Consider the following 21706-nt stretch of genomic DNA (forward strand, 5'->3'; position numbering starts at 1 on the left):
CATATAAAGGGGGCGGGAGGGTGAGTTGCTCATCCTCGTGACCCAGAATATCTCCCCCTCCTTGTAATGATGAGCTTGCTTTTCCATAAGGGCTTTCCCTTGATTCAGGGAAGGAGCCAACCAATGACAGAGGGACATGTTAGATTATTCTGGGGAAGGGCTCATGCCAGGAGGGTTCACTTTTACCAGGCGCCAAGTGTCCCCAGCAACCAGTGTCTCCTGTACCAGCAGAAGCTCCAGAACTCTCACCCGATTGCCTGCCTCTGCTGCGTCTTTGCCCACTGAACAGCCATGAGAAGGCAACTCCGGTCCAGAAGGGCTCCATCCTTTCCTTACAGTTATCGCTACAGACTCGTGAGTGCCAGAGAGCAGAATATTTTGCTGCCCCCTCCCCTTTTATTTTAATGGGGTGGGTTGGGGGCTGTGTAGACCTTGGTTTACGGCTGCCTCTCTTTGAGACGGGCAGAAACAGCGAAGTTTAGGGGAGCCCAGGGTTTCAAAAAGGAGCAGTGACTCCCAGCACCCCCGGGCACCCTAAACTGCTGGATAAAAGGAGGAAGCCCCTCTTCCTGTGAAACAAAGATAAGGGAAGGAGAAGATAACAGAGAATAAGTGGCTTCTAAAATCTTTTCCTGGGAGTATAGAATTTTCACAGACCTTTTGGAGTATAAAAGTTTAATTCTAATAGCAAGAAATTTAGCCAAGAGGGAAGGAAGGAGGAAGAGGAAATGAAAGGCACTGCCTACCCAGCTGTCTCTTGGGTGGTAGCTTCTTAGAGTCCAGCTGCTCTCTTTCTAAAGTAGAAATTCCAAACTATAGCTAAAATCATAGAATCCCCAATAGGAGCAGGGAGGAATCCTAGACATTATCTCTCCAGAACCCCTCATTACCTAAAGGAGGCTGCTGTGGCTCAGAGTACAGGAGTGACTTGCAAGTTAGTGGAGGAGCCAAAGTGAAAATGCAATATCCTCACTGCTAATCTTGTACTCTTTCCATTGTATTTGCAGAATGCATCTTCCAAACCCCCGATCTGCCACTACCCATTGCCATCCTGACTGCCACCCCACACTGCCCAACATGTAGACACACATACATTCTTTTGTCTCATCATTTATTTCCAGGGTGTATTACAAATTATTTGATCCAAAAGTTTATTTGCATTTATTTTGCTATAAGTCATTAATGTATGCCACACGCAGTGCTTTTTGGGGAGAGGATTTTGAAATGTTCCCCAGAGAGGATTGTGATCTCAGCCCCAGGAGGAAACAAAGCCTAAGCCATTTTTCTTTGGGTATGGCCACTTATGTAACCAGGGAGTTAAGTGAAGACTGTCAACAGCCCGCAGAAGAAAACACACATTATTCTAACCTCCTATCAATCTACAGAGGGCTTCTCTTAGCTTTTTAGCCACAATTTGAAGAACCGTTTAACTTCCCCCAAAGTTTCTTCCAGCTCTCAAAACAGTTACAATCTGCAGGGGTATAAAACTATTTCTTACTTGCCTTCTTTTCTATGTAATCTTGTTAAAATGTTGTGTATAATTTCAGTTATTTGTTAAGTGGCTTGGATTTTAAATGCATCAGGGGATCTTGCTCTTTATAATACTTGACCAAATTTAAAAATAAATTAATGCAATCCTGTGCTAATTTCTCTTTTAAAATTAACCAGCCATTCAAATGTTTATGGTGTATAAACACATGCCTTGCTGTCTTCTTTGCAGAGCACAAATTTAAAATTTATCCTTTGGGTCATACTGTTTGTTTATATATTTGTTTATATGTTTATATATTTAGATTACTCAAAATGGAGCTACCCTCTGTTCTTCAGACTCTTCCCTTTCAGGGAAACCTGATGACCCCATCACACACCCACTACCATATCCCAGCACACTCACACACACTATCACATGAGGGTAGTGCCACTTTAGGAAAGTGACAAGACAGAATCTTAGGGATAAGCATTCTCATTACCAAAGGATTTTCTATTGGATTTTGTTAAATAGTTTCACAAAGATACATTTTACACAGGATTTAATTAATGAGGATCTTTTGGGGAAGGCCTCTCTTGCACAGTGTGACCATTTCCTTTACCTGGAAACAGAGGAGAGGAGAAAAGATTCGAGGTTCCTAAAGTAAAGCTCAGGAACCTCTCACAGCCTCTCGGGTGTGAGAGCTGTAGGGGCAAATTAGCCGTGAGAAGATTAATTCTTCTCAGGAGGGTAAAGCTTTAATGACAAGCCATCTGTAATGGGATTATCATGAGAGCCAATATCTACAAATAAGATCAGTCTGAGGCCTAGGCCAGCTGCCTCCTCTGTGGAAGGTTAAAGGCAGGCATAGGTAACATGGAGAGAAAAGAAAATTGTTCAGGAAATATAAAGGGAATATATATTTCTCCTCAATGAAATGTTATACTTCAAATTCACTGAGATTCTCAGGTGCAGTAGATTCTCTGGGGGCCATGATTGCTACCCACTGTGATATACATGACAGCTCAGTCAGGGTGACAAGCTCTGTGAGAGCATTCCCGCAGAGTCCTGCATCAGGAATTTTAAGTCAGGCAGGTATCACTGATATTTGGTTAGGACCCACTGGGTACTTAACTGTCAGCTTTACACTGTGGAGGGCCATCGAGAGGCTAGAAAATATGGAATCTCCCTCTGGGTGCTCAAAATGTAGTTTGGGAGTTTAAATGTGTGCATAGGTTCACACACAAGTGAAAGATATTTAAGAACAGGTATTAATCCATTCATCATTGAGTGATGAAGTTTATTTTCCTAAGCCTTACACTGTGAGCCTATGTCAGTCAGCCATCCTTGATTATAATAAGCACCTAAAATCTTTTTTTGTGTTTTTTTGAGACAATGTCTCACTCTGTCACCCAGGCTGGAGTACAGTGGCATGATCACAGCTCACTGCAGCCTTGACCTCCCAGGCTCAAGTGATCCTCCTGCCTCAGCCTCCTGAGTAGCTAGGACTACAGGTGCATGCCACCATGCCTGGTTAATTTTTTTTTAATTTTGTAGAGACAGGGTCTCACTATGTTGCTCAGGCTGTCATCAAACTCCTGGGTTCAAGTGATCCTCCTTTCTTGGCCTCCCAAAGTGTCGGGATTACAGGCTTGAGCCCTAAAATCGTTTAGGAACACAGAACCTAAGGCACTGTGCTTCATTAATCTACTAAGCTACCTCTAGGCACTTGTGCTCAATGTGATAGAGGAGAAACATCATTGTCCAGGGTATCAAGAGACATAGGTTCCGAGACCGTCAACTCTATCATGAATTTACTGCATGGTTTTGGCTAGATCCTGTCCCATCTCTGGGCCTCAGATGGATAAGTAAATCTTGAAGGTCTCTGTCGGTTCTGATGTGATATTTTATATAGAGCTGTACATTGGAACAAATTAGAGAGCAATTCAAGAGGGCTTATAATCAAGAGCTAGATAGTGCTGTGCAGACTGAATGCTGAGAGCTGAGCCTTGTCATTCTGTATCACTTGTACTGATTCTGAACAATCCAATTTGCTGAGCCCTCCTCCCCCCAACAAAGGCAGCATTTTTAGCAGGGTGCCCTCTAAATGGCCTTTGAGGAATCAGGCCGGGAGGGGGCAGCACAGAGCCCCTGGTCTCTAGTGTTTGACACATCCAACCCAACAGGTGCACAGCCCCGCAACTCTTCAGACTTGGACAGCAGAGAAGGGAGGGCAGCCTCATTTTCTGCTGCTGCAATAAGCCTTGGCAAACCCCCAAAGAGCAAAGATACAACTCTCTGGCCTGTGGCTGGGAGGCATTTGAAACACCACTTGGTGAAGTCTAGGTTTCTCTCTCCCTCTCTCTTTTTCAGTTTAATTTTCTTAGAACCACTCAGAGAAGATTACAGTTTCAAATCTCAAGTAATGGCTGCAATCAGTCAATCAACAAATATGTGCTGAGTATGTATTACGTGCCCAGCTTTTTGCCTAAGCATAGGGGGAGACTAAGGAAGCCCGGGGTTCCAGCTCTCAGATGGTCTTTCCAACCAATTTAAGGTAGGAAGAGATTCAAACTAGGGCAATAATCAGAGAAGCAGCTAATAACTGCCCATCTATTGTTTCTGTTGGGAAGGAAGGCTAAGTTTTGAGGAGGGGTACAGCAGTTGGCCTCTCCTCCTGATGTCCGTCCCAGGCTATTTTTAGACACAACTTGAAATGGTGAAGTTGAGCAGCTGAATGTGTACAGGGTGTTAGGATAAAGCTGGCTTGGACTGAAAGTTTGCTATCACAGACACAATGTCTAAGACTATTCCATCCTCTTCCTGTGTGAGCTCACCTCTACTCTGATAGGACAAGGTTAAGTGGGAGGTCAAGGCCCCAGAACAGAGTAGTGATATGAGCAGTCCTTGGAGAAGAGCCCAAATGCCTGAAGCTGAGAATAAAACTTGCACCTCTATGGAAAGAATACTGAGTCAAAATGGGTCATAGAAAGGATATTTCCTCCAAAAGAACTAGGGAGAAAGAAAATCCACCTCTTGTAACAACATGTATGTTTATGGGAAAGTGGAAATTTGAAGCATCTCCAAATATTGAGTCATTTCGATTTATTTTTGGCTGGTGGGATGCACCATTGTACATTTTTTTTCAAAAAGGGTATTGTGTTTTGTCACTGTTCCAGGATGATCCGGATGAAGCGAACCAGAACTACTTAGCAGATGAAGAGGAGGAAGCAGAAGAAGAGGCTCGGGTGACGGTGGTGCCCAAATCGGAGGAGGAGGAAGAAGAGGAGGAGAAAGAAGAGGAGGAAGAGGAGGAAAAGGAGGAGGAAGAGGGTCAAGGTCAGCCAACAGGCAATGCCTGGTGGCAGAAATTGCAGATCATGAGTGAATACCTGTGGGATCCAGAGAGAAGGATGTTTCTGGCCCGAACAGGTCAGAGTTGGAGTAAGTCCCAATAGTCCCAATGCCAAAGTCTGGTGTCCTTTGCTTTTGGTGTGGTGTTCAGGGCTCCTTTACCATACGCTGGATGGGCTTGTCTGCAAACTTCTCTTTGCACTTCATGTAAAGGCATCAATGCCTAGGGAAATGCCTAGACTGTGGACAGATTCCATCAGAACAAACTCCAAATGGATGAACAAACTTGATTGTGTAACCAAAACCCACTGGGCTCAACATCAGTTGCAATGCAGAGAGACAGTGAGAATGAGTTGAAAAAGCACATGATTTTTTTAAGTCCCAGTCCTGTCACTTTCTATCCACGTGACCGTGGACTCATCATTTCCCCTCTCTGAGCCTCAGTTTCCTCACATGCCAAATGAGGAAAACAATCCCTGACTTGCTTCTCTTACAGGATCAGAGTGAGGCCCCAATTAGATGTTAAAACTGTAAAGTTTAAAGAACTATGCAGAAGACTTCTTGTAAGAAATGAGACTCAAATCCCTGCTAACATGACCAAGTGTTTTTATGAGGCCCCATCACCTGGTAATGTCAGAGAAGGAGAGCCAGGAGGCGTGTCCCTGGCCCCAGCTTGTGGGTGTCTTCTTCTGCTATGATAGAGATGTTTGATCAGTGGCAGAATTATATTCCTTAGCATTTCCTCTTTGCATCACATGCTGCCATTATTTTTACTCCACAACTTCACCAGCACTCACCTCCTACAGTCTTACCCACCCTTAAACTATTAATGCTGAGCCTTCTCCTCAGGAGATTTAGCCAGTGGTAAAATTCACACTTGCCACAGTCTCTGCACAGCCCAGAAAAAGAGCAGCTGCTGGTTTGGAAATCAGTCAATCCACAGAAGAAAAAAAATAGAGGATGCCAAGGATGAAATAACAGTCCCCTAGTGCCAAGGGTCTAGGTTGCTGAAATTGATGGCCATGTCTTCTAAAGGCCCCGTTGGCTAAGAATTCTCTCCCTCAAAGTTAATGTTGCTAATTCAGCTCAGTCAAGGTGACACACTAAGCTCTGTTTCCTGGAATTAGGAATAGCACGTGGGATCTCCCTTCACCCCTCCCCAATTCCCAGCCCCACCCCTGACCATCCCACAAACTCTCAACTGGAACAAATGTACCATTTAAGGAACATTCCGACATTCTGGAAGTTGCAGACAAATACTGGACACTCACTTGGGGCTCCAAGGGTGCACAGCTGTTTCTCCCTTGCCTAAAGAGGACTGGAAAAACAAGCCTTGTGAAATGCAAGTGTGAATCTGGGAGGGGGAGCCTAAACAACCAGCCATTAGATCTTCACCAGATGAGCTGATCCAAATTGCTTCTGTGGAAGGCAATCCATAGGCCAATAAGTGGGGATGAGGGAGGAAGGTTCAAGTGCCCAGAGAAGATATGGCAATAGGGACACAGCATGATAGGCCGTAGCCAGACCTCTGAGTAGCAGATCTAAGTAGAGCCCAGGAATTCATCCACTGGGCTACCCTGGGCAAAGGGTGAATGGTAATGTTAATGCTTCAGCCATAAAGCACACGCCTTGCTGTCTTCTTTCCTGAGAACAAGGTGCCCGCTTGTGCACTTACTAATGCTGTCCCAACCTGGACATCAACCTGCCCAATATATTTACCAGGCCTATGAATATAATCTGGGCCTTTCCTTTGGTATCTACGCAACCCCTATTCTTGGAAACTCTATGTTATTTTATTGGATACCAACAAGAATCATATGAGGTAGTAATATTATTATCCCCATTTTACAGATGCAGAAACTGAGGCTTAGAGAGGGTAAGTAACTTGCCTATAGTCATATAGTTACTAAGTGGCAGTGCTGGGATTACAAATCCTGGTTGGATGAACACCAAAGTTCATTCTTTTGCCAGAACACTGCCCCATTTCATGAACTCTAACAATGAACAAGGCCCTGATGTGTAGGGCCTCAGGACTTGACACGGTGTTTTAGTGGGAGAAATGAAGAGTTGGGAGCACGGTTACTTAGTGGTCTATTCAAGCCCGGGTGGGGCATTGAGGAAAGAACTCTAGAGTACCTAGAGGAAAGACCCAAGTAATACTTGGACATCCAGGGCAGAAAGTGTCAGAGGGATCAATGGGTTCAAATGGGGACTGTGCTTGGTTTTACCTGGGGGTGGCTGAGCTAGCTATCTCAGTCTGTGATCACCTATCATAAACTCTAGGGCGCCCACTCCTGGGTGAGGCTAAGGGGACTTACTGCTAGTGTCATTCTCCCATCTACAGCTTCCTGGTCACACATCCTGGGAAAAAAGGAAGATATCTCCAAAGGAATGTACCTATGTTCCATTGCTTTCCCTTCATCCATGAAACTGAGTCTTTTGATCTCCATGGATGGCTCTAGCTGTTGATCCATTCCTAGGACAGGGATGGGGTAAAGGAATGGAGGCAGAAACACAGGGCAAATGCCATTAGATAGCCAGTGGGCAACAGCCAAGTATCACAGGCACACAGGTGCTGTCGTTTATTCTCCAGGGACTCCAACTGAATCAATGTGTTCATGTTCCAGTTCTGCTTTAGTTCATCTAATAAAATAAAAAGGGTCAGTTCCATTTCCAGTCGGATTACTATGGGTTTTTTTTCTCCCTTCCACAACACCTTTTTTGGTTAATTTTATTTGGTTCATGGTTCAATTTAAAAATTAACATTTGGATTCAGTTTGGGGTACAGCAAAGTTAAGTGGTTTGTTCCAGTTTCTGGTTCATAATTCAGTTCAAATCTGTAGGTCCAACATCATGTCATTTCTGTGAGCAGAGCCAAACATTGTTGCCTGAGAGAGCCCCAAGGAGGGCTTGAAAAGAGTTTCTCATCAGCAATCTCATACTCATTCACTTCACTCAGTGTTGCCTAATCCTGGGACAAACCTAGTCCTAATACAGCCCAAAGAGGGAAAATTCACACAACGGTCCTACAGCACTAATAATAATGTTAATAATAACTGATGATGACTGCCATTTATGGTGCAATTAGTATTTGCCAGGCTCTGTGCTATGCTGCTTATATGCATTAGTCAATGCTAAGAAGTAAGTACCACTATTGTACAGACGAGGAAATTGAGGCCCAGAGAGGTGAACAGCATGTCCAAGATTAATCAGCTTGGAAGTGGTGTAGTCAGGATAGGACGTTAAGGAAAGACTGAATTTCAGATATTGTTAGGGATATAGATAAGAATCCGAGGTAAGTGCTATTTTTATCCCCATCTTACCTGTGAGGAATTGGAGGTGCAAGGAAGTTCTGTAACTTGCCAAAGTTCACGGGCAAGTGTCAGTGATTAGGTACTGTCTCCTCCTTTTCCCTTCCCCACCCTGTGTTAGTGTTCTTTTTGAAAAGCAGAGCCATTTTATTCATCTTTGCTAAAGATGAATACAATTTGAAATAAGCAGGCCAAAACCTCACTTTGCCTTGATTGGAGGCAAGTCCAGTGGAAATTCATCAAAAGTTTGAATTATAGACTATGTGGAAAGAAATGCTGTTTTCATCACTTCAAATACCTATAATTATTGGAACCAAGCTGCTAGGACTCTTCAGGGCACCCACTTTAATGAATAGCAAAGAATGATTTGTACTTAGGACATCAACTGTTGCCCAGAGGACTCTCAAGCAATTTTCCCTCTGCAATACTTTTAACTCCACTCCCCTGTATTCTTGTTCATGGCCATCATTTGCTGAGCAAGCCCTTCCATCGGAGATGCTGTAAAGGTAAACTGCAATTAGACCCCTGACACAATCCTCACTGACTCCAAATTGGTGAAATCTGAATAAGCAAGGACATACTGAATCTGAGGAATTTTTTAAAGAGCTATTTCGTGGTTGGGTTTGTTCTGGTTCATGAGTCCAAGCAGGGAGGAAGAGCTTGTTGGCAAGCACTGACCACTCTCATCTGTGATTGCTCTGCAGGCCTGATCTTACTCATTTACTTCTTCTTCTATGCCTCCTTGGCTGCTGTGATCACCCTCTGCATGTACACACTATTTCTGACCATCAGTCCCTATATACCAACCTTCACGGAGCGGGTAAAGCCTCCTGGTGAGTGTGCCCAGATGCCCTGTGTTGTCAGAACTTGCTGGACAGAAATATGCTTGCACAGCATGTTCAGCCTCAATTAACTTTGGCTCTTCCTGGTAATGACTTAGAGATTCAATTATTAGGAGGAAAAGTAAAATGGTACTTGGCAAATTATGGTTCTTTTCATTTTGATTGCCTGGGGGGAAATGGTTTCATGGGAATCAATACAAAAAAATTATCCCAAGAATGGGTTAATATATCCAAGACCTGTTTTCATTGCCAGGAGTTATGATCAGACCCTTCGCCCATAGCCTTAACTTCAACTTCAACGTTTCTGAACCCGACACTTGGCAGCATTATGTGATTAGCCTAAATGGCTTTCTCCAGGGTAAGTAAGTTCGTCTGAATAGTGGAAAGCTCTTTTGAAAGGTGATGGGTGGGAATCCAAAATTCAAAATTCACCTGGCCCAGGAATCCCAGTCTTACTAACCCCAACTCATCATGGTCTGTCCTTACTTTGCATCCCCCTTAGCACCTGTAGCTACAATCAGAATTGCTCTAGTGTGTGATTGTATGTTGTCTTGAAAACATACAAGCCAATTTTCCAGCAAGATAAGCTCTTTGTGGCAGAGAAATTTTTTTTCTTGAACACGTTACAGTACCCATTTAAGCCCTGAACATATCCAGATGGCTCAATAATGATCATTTATAGAAGATAATTCTTGGGGGAGATAGTGGTGGGAAAAGAAGAATGTTCTCCAGAGCTGAAAGATTCCTATCTTCTAAACTTTCTCAAGGTAAAAGAAGTCATTTCTTGGAGATGGGTTAACTTGAAGGGAGAGGGCAAGCGTCTTTATTTTATTTGAGATGGAGTCTCACTCTGTCGCCCAGGCTGGAGTGCAGTGGTTTGATCTCTGCTCTCTGCAACCTCTGCCTCCCAAGTTCAAGCGATTATCCTGCCTCAGCCTCCTGAGTAGCTGGGACTACATGTGCGTGCCACCACGCCCTGCTAATTTTTTGTATTCTTAGTAAAGATGGGGTTTCACCGTGTTAGCCAGGATGGTCTTGATCTCCTGACCTTGTGATCCACGTGCCTTGGCCTCCCAAAGTGCTGGGATGACAGGCATGAGCCACCGCGCCCAGCCAAGTGTCATTATTTAACAGCATTCCAGAAAGGAGTTAGAGGAAGAATCTCTGGGTGGCAGTCGCTCCAACATTCTGATCCCAAGTATTTTCGAGGTGCCTATCTCTATAGTGTCATCAGATAAGTTTTCAGGGGCAAATGAATGGCTTTGTGGGAGACGCTTCCACAAGGTAAAATCTGAGGTAGCAGCTTGGTTAAGGTTAACAGAGCACACAGGTTCTTTATGCAGCTATCAAAGAGGAGCTCCAGTGGGGTTTGCATTTCTGCACCTAATCTTTGTGGGGAAAAAAATGCCAGTCATTCTGGCTTGGTTGTCCTGGCCTGGTTGAAGTGGGGTTGATCCATTCTAGAGGCGGCTACTATTATAACAAGTGCACTGAATTAGGAGGAGAACAATCTCTTATCATGTGCTAGGAGGTGTTATTTAAATACATAAATTTGGTCATTTAACTTTAACTCTGCATAATAAAGTTGATCACGCTCATTTTATAAATGAGAAAACTGAGACTCAGAAAGGGGGAGTAGCTTGATCAAAGACTCTGGCAGCAGAACCAGTGTTTGAATCCACATTTCTTGTTCTTTACACTCTCGCTGCTATAAGTGTTATAAAGGGACCAACAACATGGGCATCTCCTGGGAGTTTGTTAGAAAGGCAAAATCTCAGACCACATTCTAGACCTGCTGAATCAAAATCTGCATTTTTAAAAAATCCACAGGTGATTTGTAGGAAATTTAAAGTTTGAGACATGCTGCTTTTCATAATTCTACGCTGCTGTCACATGACCAAGAGTTAGAAATTCAGCTTTATATCAGTAAGGCTCAGTGTTATTTTGGGTAAGTCTGAGCTTCAGATTCCTTACCAGTGAAACGAGGGGAGACGGGACTGGGTTCTTTCTGAGTCCATGTAGTTCTATTTTTAGCTACAGAAATGTTTTGGGCATCATGGCCAGCACAGTATCTTCTTTTGTTTCAGAATGCTTGCAAGCGATTGCAAATATATTGCCGGATTCCCTGCTAAGAAAATCCCTCCAAGAAGCTAGTAGACAGAGAAATACCAATTCTGACCTGATGATGATGGAAGCAGGAAATGCTAGGAAAAGCACTAGTTTTTAGTTCCTAAGAGTAGATAATGTGTCCTGCTAAAAAGAAGCACATCTCTGAAATAGACATCACAGAGTATCACTTTCACTCCCATGAGGACTGGGATTTTGCAATAAGGGTCATGTCCATGTCACATTATTTTTAATGGAACTACCTCAAGAGAAACAATGAGCACATGATCGCAGCCTCTATTTAGAAAGTTATTTGAGCATAGTTCTTGCTCTAAAAAAATTAAAACAAAGCCTTGAATTAAATGTAGCTTTGTCAAAGAAAAAATAAAGGCATAGCCATATTTGGAATAGATTTAAAATTCGCAGTTGCCGATTAATAATATCAAACCCAAGTCACAACCTGTGGGTTTGATATTATTAGATGAGGATTCAGCAGCACATTTTGAGTTTTACCTCTGGTAGATCACAGGTGCAAAATCTCCTCTGAAATACTGAGCTACTTTGAACATTAATACATAGGGACTGAGTCTAACAGGACTAACTGGGCTCCATCATTTAGAATCAAATTGGAAATAATGCAGTAATTTCTAAAGCCCAGTTTTATGTATGAAATTTGGTAGCCCAAAGGGTTACCTCACAAATAGCCCTTTTAAGCTTTCTCCCTGATATATGTATCCTTGGACACATGTTACATTCCATCCAATGTAAAAGGACATTTATCCTGAATGTCTCAGGCCTCAGTTGACAAGATCTCATGCCCTCACCATCCCCGTAGAGACCCTGTGGTTGTCATTGGTTTCTATCTTTTAACTTATGCTTCTGTTTTGCAGTGCTAACTTCCCTCTGTAAAGGATGAAGAGCTGGCTTATTCCCTCCCCCGCCTCCTCCTCCTGCTCCACCTCCTTCTCCTCCTCTTCCTCTTCTTCCACTTTCCTTCTGTCTCACAACTCATACTTCTCACTCTTACAATCAGGTGCCTCTCACTGACTTCAAAGGGAGACATTGTAACTGCCCAGCGGGTTCACCTTGCCCACCATCTAGACAGAGCTGATTTATCAAGACAGGGGTATTGCAATAGAGACAGAGTAATCCACACCCAGCCAGCTGTGCGGGAGACTGGATTTTTATTATTACTCAAATCAATCTCCCCAGGACTATTTCTCTATTGCAATCAAATCCATGTACATTGGGTCTGCAGTGCCCCGCCAGTGGAGACAGTACCAGAGTCGGCCTCCAGCCCAAGAGAACTAGGTGGCTGCTTGGGCTGGCCTCTGGATCCATTGCCAGGTCGGGAGGTGGGGTGCTACTGAACCACGAGCAGGTAGCCATAAGGGCAATCCCAAAAGAGCCCCCAGATTTGTAACTGCCCAATGGGTTCACCTTGTTTCCTAAGTGAAGTTAAGGAGATTTAACCCAGGATATACCATATATATACCCTTATATATACCAGGATATACCCTTATATATACCAGGATATATAAGGATATACCCTTATATATACCATATACCCTTATATATAATATATATATACCCTTATATATAATATATATATACCCTTATATATAATATATATATACCCTTATATATAATATATATATACCCTTATATATAATATAATATTATATTATATATATATAATATAATATATAATATATATATTATATACCCTTATATATAATATATATATATACCCTTATATATAATATATATATTATATTATATATAAGGGTGTATATATATATATTATATATATATAATATATATATATTATATACCCTTATATATATTATATTATATATAAGGGTATATATATATTATATATAAGGGTATATATATATTATATATAAGGGTATATATAAGGGTATATCCTTATATATCCTGGTATATATATATACCCTTATATATACCCTTATATACCATACCTTGAATGTTTCAGTCCCTCTTCCAAAATCTACCAACTATGTGCCTATTTCTCTCTCAGAAGTAGAAGGGACAGCCTTCCAAGTTTACAGTTTATCATGTCTGAAAAGAAATGGTGGAAAATAGAGAAAATTTATAAAGTGACTGACATAGGACCCAGAGATGGATATCCAGAAGTTCCATGGGAATGAAAAGCAAAGGAACAGGCAATCAAACTGGGCTGAAGTGACTAGTCAGGAAGACTTCCTAGAGGGATGGCTGCCGATGAAGGCTGTTGGGCACCTGATGCCAGGTCACAGGTAGACTGAGTGGGCTTTCAGAGGAGTACAAACAAGCTGGAGAAAGGAAACTTGGGAGGGAGGACTACTGAACGCACGGCCTTCCCCTGTAGCACCTGTCTAACATAACCTGTTGCCACTCACACATGCTTTAGGTTATAATGACAGTCTTCAAGAGGAAATGAATGTAGATTGTCCCCCGGGGCAGTACTTCATCCAAGATGGCAATGAGGATGAGGACAAGAAGGCCTGCCAATTTAAGCGCTCCTTCCTAAAGAACTGCTCTGGTCTGGAGGACCCAACTTTTGGATACTCTACTGGACAGCCCTGCATCCTTCTAAAGATGAACCGGGTATATTGGCTTTTCATATCTGGTGGTGATAAGCGAATGAACTAGATAGGAGGGCTCTGGCCACTCCATTTGTCTTGGTCTCTGTCTTCACACACCACAGGTTTGGCCATTTTTCTGACAGTATCATAAATACAAATAACCAGATAAACCTATCAATTTCTTCCCCCCCGCCCACCGAGCACTTCCTATGGCCATTCTTCTCCCTCACCCCCAAACCTGTCACTTGATGGCCTTTGTCAAGAATGGGGTCCTAGTCAAGTGCAGTGGCTCGAGGTTATAATCCAAGCTACTCGGGAGGCTGAGGAAGGAGGGTTGCTTGAGCTTAGGAGTTCAAGTTTAACTTGGGCAACATAGTGAGACTTCATCTTTAATTTTTTAAAAAAGTATTTTAAATAAAGAATGGAATACTGAGCTGTTTGGAACAGGGGATTGAAATGAGGGTGGCATGGGGGACAGTTCTTATATCATAAAAATGCATTTTTCTTCCATCCTGTCATGACTTAGGTGTGGCAGAGCCTTATCAGTCACACCTCTCTTGAAATTAGAAAGTTCTTTACATCTTTAGCATTGACTTGCTGACGTTTCCCCTTGTGTGTAAATACCAGGCATAAATACAACACGGAGTAAGCTGAGCTGCTTAGCTCTGAAGATGTTTTTCATTTTTTGCTTTTTGTAACATTTCTGAGAAGGCGAAATAGATGAAGCATATGCCTGAGGAAGCATGACTGGGAGGAAGGTTAGAAAAGCCCAATTTTTTACTGTCAAATATGTTTTGTTAAAAAAAAATAAAACACTGGTTTTCTTTTGATAGATTGTAGGCTTTCGTCCTGAGCTTGGAGATCCTGTGAAGGTTTCCTGCAAAGTTCAGGTAAAGAGTCCTTTTGAGTAAGCATTGTTAGCACATCTGTTTCATGCAAAAAGGTAGTCCATCACTTTCAAGGACTTACACATGGATGGTAGGCTAAGGAAAAGGTTAATCTTTTCATAACTACACCTCTCTTTAGTTCCTTCAGGTTTTCCTCTTTCCAGAAAGCATTCAATTCATGTGTGTTTGTGTGTATAGTGTATGTGTGTGTATGTGTGTGTGTCAGTCAGTCTGTCATGATTAATACTTCTGAAAACCAAAGACTGAACTTCAGCTAAGGGCCACAGCAGGGAACAACAATGTGCCAAGTCATTAATTGAGATTCTGTTTACACTTTTGCTTTTAGCTCTAATTACTTGTTTCTTTGAACTAAACAAACAGCTTTCATTAGAGTCATTAGTTCCCAGATTTTAAAACTGAATTTCACATTTTGCAGCAATGACCAGTGGTACTGGGTGTTGCAATAACAAATGACTACATGGGAAGTATAAACAGAACTCGATTAATATGCTAATTAACTGTCCTTCGAGGGACCATTAACTTCTATCTCATCTGCACCAATTAGCTCCCTTGTAGGAAAAAGCCCTTAGATCTTGGGTTTGCTTCTTAAACAGGCAGTAGCTTTCTCCTGTTCTATGACATCAACTGCACCCCCAGACCTGGATAGTTGTCTTGCAAATGCGTGAGGCCTGGTAATCCCATTCTCAGTAGGAGAAATACAGTTGAAAACTTCAGTCTTCATGGTGACAGATCAGAAAACAGCAAAAGGCAGCAGTTATTCAGCCAATATCCCACATTTAGCAAGCATTTATTGATCACTTATTATATAGCAGATCCTCTGCTAGGTGTTAGAAGTGTCGAGGTAAGAGTATGACTCCGTCTCTGAAATCAAGACAATCAAGTATTACATGTGCTGTGAAAAGTGAAGATGAGCTCTGAAAGGTCAGGCAGTACTTGCCAAATGAACAAGGTAGGAAGCACATTCTGTTCTCATGTATATGTGTAAATATTCACAACATGAGGTGACACTACAAACTATCCGAACTGATTCCTCAGGCCTTCATGAAAAATAAATTTCATTGCTTTTTAGAAGAATGTATTAAAAGTAAATCATAAAGACCAACTTAGTCTTAAGTTAGCATATTAACTGGACAGAGTTCTACTTATTGTTCCCTAATGGAAGCTGTTTGTTTTTCAGCTTACATCAAACCTTGCTAAGAACTGTCCTTTCTAAAATTGTTTTAATGTTTTAATTATTATTTTTAGCTACCTCCTTACATATTTTATGTCCTTTTAAAAAATATATTAAGAATCTCTATACATTCTATAATAAACAATACTGGTCAAATCCACACCCATTTGTGAAAATCAAGCAGGATGAGGTAATGACTAGAATAAATTAAGGAGAGCTTAGTTTGTACCAAGAACAATTATAGTATATTGACAGAAGTAATCACATGACCTTAGTGAGTAATTTGCTAGTAGTGATGCACTATTTGTCCTTACTAGCCCCCAGACCTCTGCTATTTAGGGCAAGCCGAATGTATCACAGAATGGGCAGCCCCTACCTGACATAATGTGATGAGTGTAGATCTGTTTACTTTAATCATTTCCATACCCAGGCTCTTGTTGCTTACCCCTCTGACCCCACCTACTGTAATTAAGCACTACAGAGAATATGGTCAGAGACATGAGTCTAGGTGAGCCAACTGTAGGCTGTGTGCCTGTGTATCAGGTACCTATGCACTTGATCTGACTTCCAATAGAACCGAGCCTGCAGTGTGCAAATCGTGGAGTGGGATTTACTAAATATGTTCTAACGTATATCTTCCTCAGCTCCAAAGTCCAAGACTGGGTGCCAGGCCCAGTGTGGTTCTTTGGAGAAAGGCTGGAGTTGTAGGTCCTCTTTCCAGAGCAGCATCAGGTACTGCAAGCCCTTTGGATTGCTTCTGTCTGGGTACCCCAGAAGCCAACAGAGAGCCATACTGAGCACCTTTGTCCTCCTCAGTTCAGGCCTTCTACTCAATATTCTTTGAACTGAAAAGACAAGGCACAGTCACTCCCTAAAAATGCTCATCTAGGGACAGGTCACGGCTGAGCTCTGCTCCATTCTGCTTTCATGGTCTTCCTGGAACAGTTGGTTATGGTTCACACAGTGATTTCACCTGGGTACAACTCCCTTTAGCTCAGACTCTAGCCCACTCTGTGACCCAGCACCCCACATATACCTGCTTTTGCTTACAGAGAGGTGATGAAAATGACATCCGATCCATCAGTTACTACCCAGAGTCGGCTTCTTTTGACCTCCGCTACTACCCTTACTACGGCAAACTGACTCACGTAAGCTGTATTCCCTTTAGTCATTGCTGTCAGAAAGGGCTCAGTGACAAAAGAAGAGCTGGCTGGGATCTATGAGAATTAGGGAGCAGGAGATAGTAGAGGGGTAAATAGCTGCTGGCCATAACCAGGAGCTCCCTTTACCAATTCTTATCACAACCACACTCCTTTCCATATCTGAAAGAATCTCATATATGGCCTAATTTAACCTTTTAAGTTTACGAATGGGAAAATTGGGGTTCAGAGACAGAAAGTGACTTGCCCAAGACCATACAGCTAAGTTAGTGGCAGGGTCAGGAGCAGATAAATTACTACCAATGTGCTTAAACATGCCCTAATAATCACGCTTCTGTTTCTCCCATTTGAAGCGCTGGGGTGAGTCCCCAACACAGGGACTCGATAGACACTAGTTTTGGTTTAATTCATGGTCTGATTTCCAGAAAAATCATATCATGCTGAATCAGAATTGGTTTTTCCCAGAGGACAATCAGATATCTGACAGTGACTTGTTAGAGAAATGTATGATTTTCCCACACTTTCCCACTGCAAGGAGAGTATGTCTGTTGCTTTGGCCATTTGCAAATTGGCATCATGGGATTTACTCAGTTCTCTTTGTGAGGGTTGTCATCCTGCAGTGATTATCTGATCACTTCCCTCCTACCACCTCCCCACACTTAGAATTCATTTTTCTTCTACCTGCAGGTTAACTACACATCCCCCTTGGTGGCAATGCACTTTACAGACGTGGTGAAGAACCAAGCAGTGCCTGTGCAGTGCCAACTGAAGGGCAAAGGCGTCATAAATGATGTCATCAATGATCGTTTTGTGGGCAGGGTAATCTTTACCCTGAACATAGAAACTTAAGAACTTCAGGGGGCCATTCTTACCAGTTCTGTTTCTGTTTTATCTCATGGTATCTCTGGTAGCACCTGAATTCTTTTTCTTCAATTAGGACACAGCCAGATGGACATCTAAGACAGCCGATCATCTTTCCTTGCCTATGACATGTGTATAAAATGACATTGTGGGAGCTGTTCGATTTTTTAAAGGTAGTGTCTCCTGATGACAAACAGAGTATATTAATTTCCTTTCCCTCCACTTAAAACTAAAGCCTGTTCTTGCTGCTGGTAATCTCCCTGTAGCGTAAACATAGTATCTGATAAAATTTACAATAGCCACGCAATAGCCATCAAGGAGAATTTCTATTATGATTATAAATTCATCATGTTTTCTAAAATTCTGTTGGTTTTAGAGGTCAGATTCCTCCCAACCAGGCTAATAACCTAACACATGTTTAAAAAAAATCTGCCTAAGCCGGGTGTGGTGGCATGCATCTGTAGTCCCACCTATTCAGGAGATTAAGGCAGGAGGATCACTTGAGCCCAGGAGGTCAAGGCTGCAGTGAGCTGCACTGCATTCCAGCCTGGGTGACAGAGTGAGATCCTGTCTCTGAAGAAAAAAAAAACCTGCCTGGCAAGGTCCTTCCCTGGGAATCACCACTCGGTCCAACCTAGACAACCAAGACCGCTATACCTAAAGACCTCTATATCCTGGTGCCTAAGAAACTTCTGCCTCCCACAGACAACTAAGTGCTTATTCAAAGACTAGGTTATTTTCAACTGGGAAAAAAGCAGTGCTAACAGGATATTGTTCTGGGATAGAGATGAAGACCGTCCTTGTGACTTTTTAAAGAGGTGGGGCTCACTGCAACTGGGGAGAACACTTAGCATATGGATATGATTGGTGTTTGATTCCTTGCTCTCTGGTGTAATCGTCTAAAGGCAAACATTCCTGCAAACAGGTTTTTCTCAGCTTCAGGCAGAGGAGACAACATGGAAGAAGATTCCCACCAGCTAATTCTTCTTGGGCTATTTGTTTGACAGTAGCATGATGTTTTTTGAGACCATCAGGGGTGGTTACATAGACCAGCAGCTACAGCTCTGGAAATTGAAATCATAATCTGTCAATGAATACATGACAAGACAGAACGTTCCTTGCCAGGCCAGGCAAAAGCCAAGGCCCATTAGCCAGTTTAGCATTTACTTTAAAAATGACATGAGGCAGATTCTTATCCAGGATGTGGATCAGCCAGGTCACTTTGTCTTATCTTTGGTCACCTGATCACTCAACTGCTTCTTAACACCTCCACCAGGGGGAAGGCTGGCACAAGGAGAAAAAAAAAGCAAGCATCAGCGAATAGTATAGTGTCTCAGGGTCCGAAGCAAGTTTAAATGCCACCTAGGAGGATCCAAAGTCTGAATCTCCTCTACAATGTTTCCTTTCTCCCAAAACAGGGAACTGACTGTCTGGTAGTGAAGACAAGCAAGTGGAGAAGTTATACGATATAGTTTAATGAGAGTTAAAAAACTAGTATGTGGAAAGCTATGGGAATATGAGGAAAAATATCTTGAGCTAAGAAAGTAGCAGAGGAAATTTCACATGCAAAGCCACAGTCATGAAGAGACCATGGTGTGTCTGGGTAACTGTGAGCAGTTTATGTAACTGGAATGAAAAGGGCTCAGAGGAATGGCAGGGATGGCAAGAGATCCAGCTAGAGAGGTATTCAGGGATGGAAAGAGGACTTTGAGTTTTATCCAATAGGTGAAAATGAGTAATTAAAGCATTTTAATCAGGGAGGCTCTGTGATCACATTTGTGTTTTATTTTATTTTACTTTATTATTTATTTGTTTATTTTTGAGATGGAGTTTCGCTGTTGTCACCCAGGCTGGAGTGCAGTGGTGTGATCTCGGCTCACTGCAACCTCCACCTCCCGGATTCAAGTGATTCTCCAGCCTCAGCCTCCTGAGTAGCTGGGATTACAGGCACACACCACCATGCCCAGCTAACTTTTGTATTTTTGGCGGAGACAGGGTTTCACCATGTTGGCCAGGCTGGTCTCGAACTCCTGACCTCAAGTGATCCGCCTGCCTCAGCCTCCCACAGTGCTGGGATTACAGGCGTGAGCCACCGCACCCGGCTTGCAATTTAGAAAGGGCACTTGGCAACCACTATGTGAAGGGTGATTGGAGAAGGACAAGACTGTGGAATGGGGAATAAGGAAGGAGGAGTTTGGAGAATGACTCCAAAGGTTTGAGCTTGGCTAGAACCGGTAAGATGGTGACATTGTTGATCAAGACTGGGAATATAAGAGAGAAGCAGGTTTGGAGAGATCAATTTTGAACATTTTAGACATGATTTTCTATTGGTCAGACATTGATGTGGAGATGTAAACACATGTAGGGTTGGTGAGAAGGAAAGATGAGAACAAAAGCAACATTGGGTTAAGGGAACTCGCTTAAGAAATTTTAAGCTATTTAATCTTGGGAACTGAAGCCAGTCATGTAAACATACTATACCAATCTAGTCCCTAACAGTGTTTTTTCTCTTGTGGCAGAAAGAATTGCTGTTCCTCTTTGGAATCTCCTTCCCAGACACCTTCAAAGTCTTATTGACACAGTAAAGGGAGGCCAACCACTACTAACAAGTTCTAGAAGATATAGGATCTTCTATAGTAGGTTAATGGAAAATACAAAAACAAACAAACATACAATGAAACTGCCTCCTCTCAACCCATTTTCTTAACAAATTCAATTTTCAAAACTAACCTTTAAAAAGAAAAGGAACAAAATGAAAAAGACAATAACTTTTAAACCACTTGAAAATTACCTCAATCAAACTCTCAAGATTCAGTAGTAAAAGATAATAGAATGTTAGATCTGGAAAGGATATTAGAGAGTGTTTAGAAAAAACAACTTGCATTGCATCTGACTCCAGGTCCAGTGCTCTTTCTACTCTGAGCTGCTGCTTACCAGAAAGTACCATCTTCTTAAAAATCAATGAATGATATCCCAAACATTTTGAAACGTATGTAAATTTTGAGTTAAAATAGTTAACATTTCACAGGAATTCAACTACTGGTGCTATACTTTATACATAATACATTATCCTGTTAAATGCATTGACTATTAGACAAGGAATTATGAATCATTTGTCAAATAATATTTATCTTTCAATGGAATCCATTGTGTCCACAATTGCAAAGCAATATTGAAGGGTACTAAGATAGTTTGGGTTGTCAGCTAGGACATGAAAAATGTAGGTTTACTATACAGAACTGGATATGATAATATATTCATTAAAGTTATGTTCTAACTGTTCAATAGACTTCTAGTAGATTAATTTAAATAGTTCCCCATACCGTGCTGCATCAGGATTTGATTTGTATGCCATCTGTTGCAATGCACTTGGTTTTACTTGCTTGTCAATGAGAAATACTACTTCCAAATGTCTTCATGGTTTTGTCCATACTGGACTTTGGGTTATGATTTTTCACCTTCTACTCCCCTGAAATCATTATCCTAAAGTAACTTTTTTTAGGCACCTATTTTCTGGGGATCAACATGTAAAAAAACATTTATATTGTCTTGAGGAGTTGTCAACAACAATAAATTGAAATAAAAAAGAAATGTATGATTTTCTCTTTCTAGACCATATCACTGATTTTCCCACTGGAATATTGGGCAGCCATGTGGGTGGAAAACTTGACAATTGACAACCTGTTAGTTAAATATTGTTTTTCTTCTCTCTCCCCTCTTTTTGACTCTTAGGGTTTAGTCACAGGAGGATAAAACTAAAAGTTGTTTCATTTCTGGGCATTTTTTCCTTTGTAGTCTCTGTGCTCTGGTTTCTCGTTAGACTGCTTTGTGAGAGCAGCCTTTCTTTATCAAGGTTGAGTCCTGGTATAAACTGTTATGTTTGTTTGTGTAGGAGAGGAACACTAAGAGAAACTTTCAGGCTGAGGGACAGAACCAA

The 21706-nt window shown here is 42.0% G+C and overlaps 1 protein-coding gene across 3 annotated transcripts; it reads left to right on the forward strand.

Moving 5' to 3' along the window:
• Nucleotides 212–21360, forward strand: ATP1B4 (ATPase Na+/K+ transporting family member beta 4). Of its 3 annotated transcripts, none has more exons than NM_001142447.3 (8): nt 212–354; nt 4648–4912; nt 8838–8966; nt 9229–9333; nt 13495–13691; nt 14503–14559; nt 16801–16896; nt 17596–21360. In NM_001142447.3, exons 1-8 carry the CDS (start codon nt 292–294, stop codon nt 17755–17757), a joined length of 1074 nt encoding a protein of 357 aa, NP_001135919.1. In that variant the 5' UTR covers nt 212–291; the 3' UTR covers nt 17758–21360. The 3 variants fall into 3 exon arrangements, with proteins under 3 accessions (NP_001135919.1, NP_036201.1, XP_016884870.1); NM_012069.5 differs by having other exon boundaries at nt 4648–4900; XM_017029381.2 differs by lacking the exons at nt 14503–14559; nt 16801–16896; nt 17596–21360 and having other exon boundaries at nt 13495–13946.

This window comes from Homo sapiens, chromosome X (genome assembly GCF_000001405.40).
Source record: "Homo sapiens chromosome X, GRCh38.p14 Primary Assembly".
In the NCBI taxonomy this organism is placed as follows: domain Eukaryota; kingdom Metazoa; phylum Chordata; class Mammalia; order Primates; family Hominidae; genus Homo; species Homo sapiens.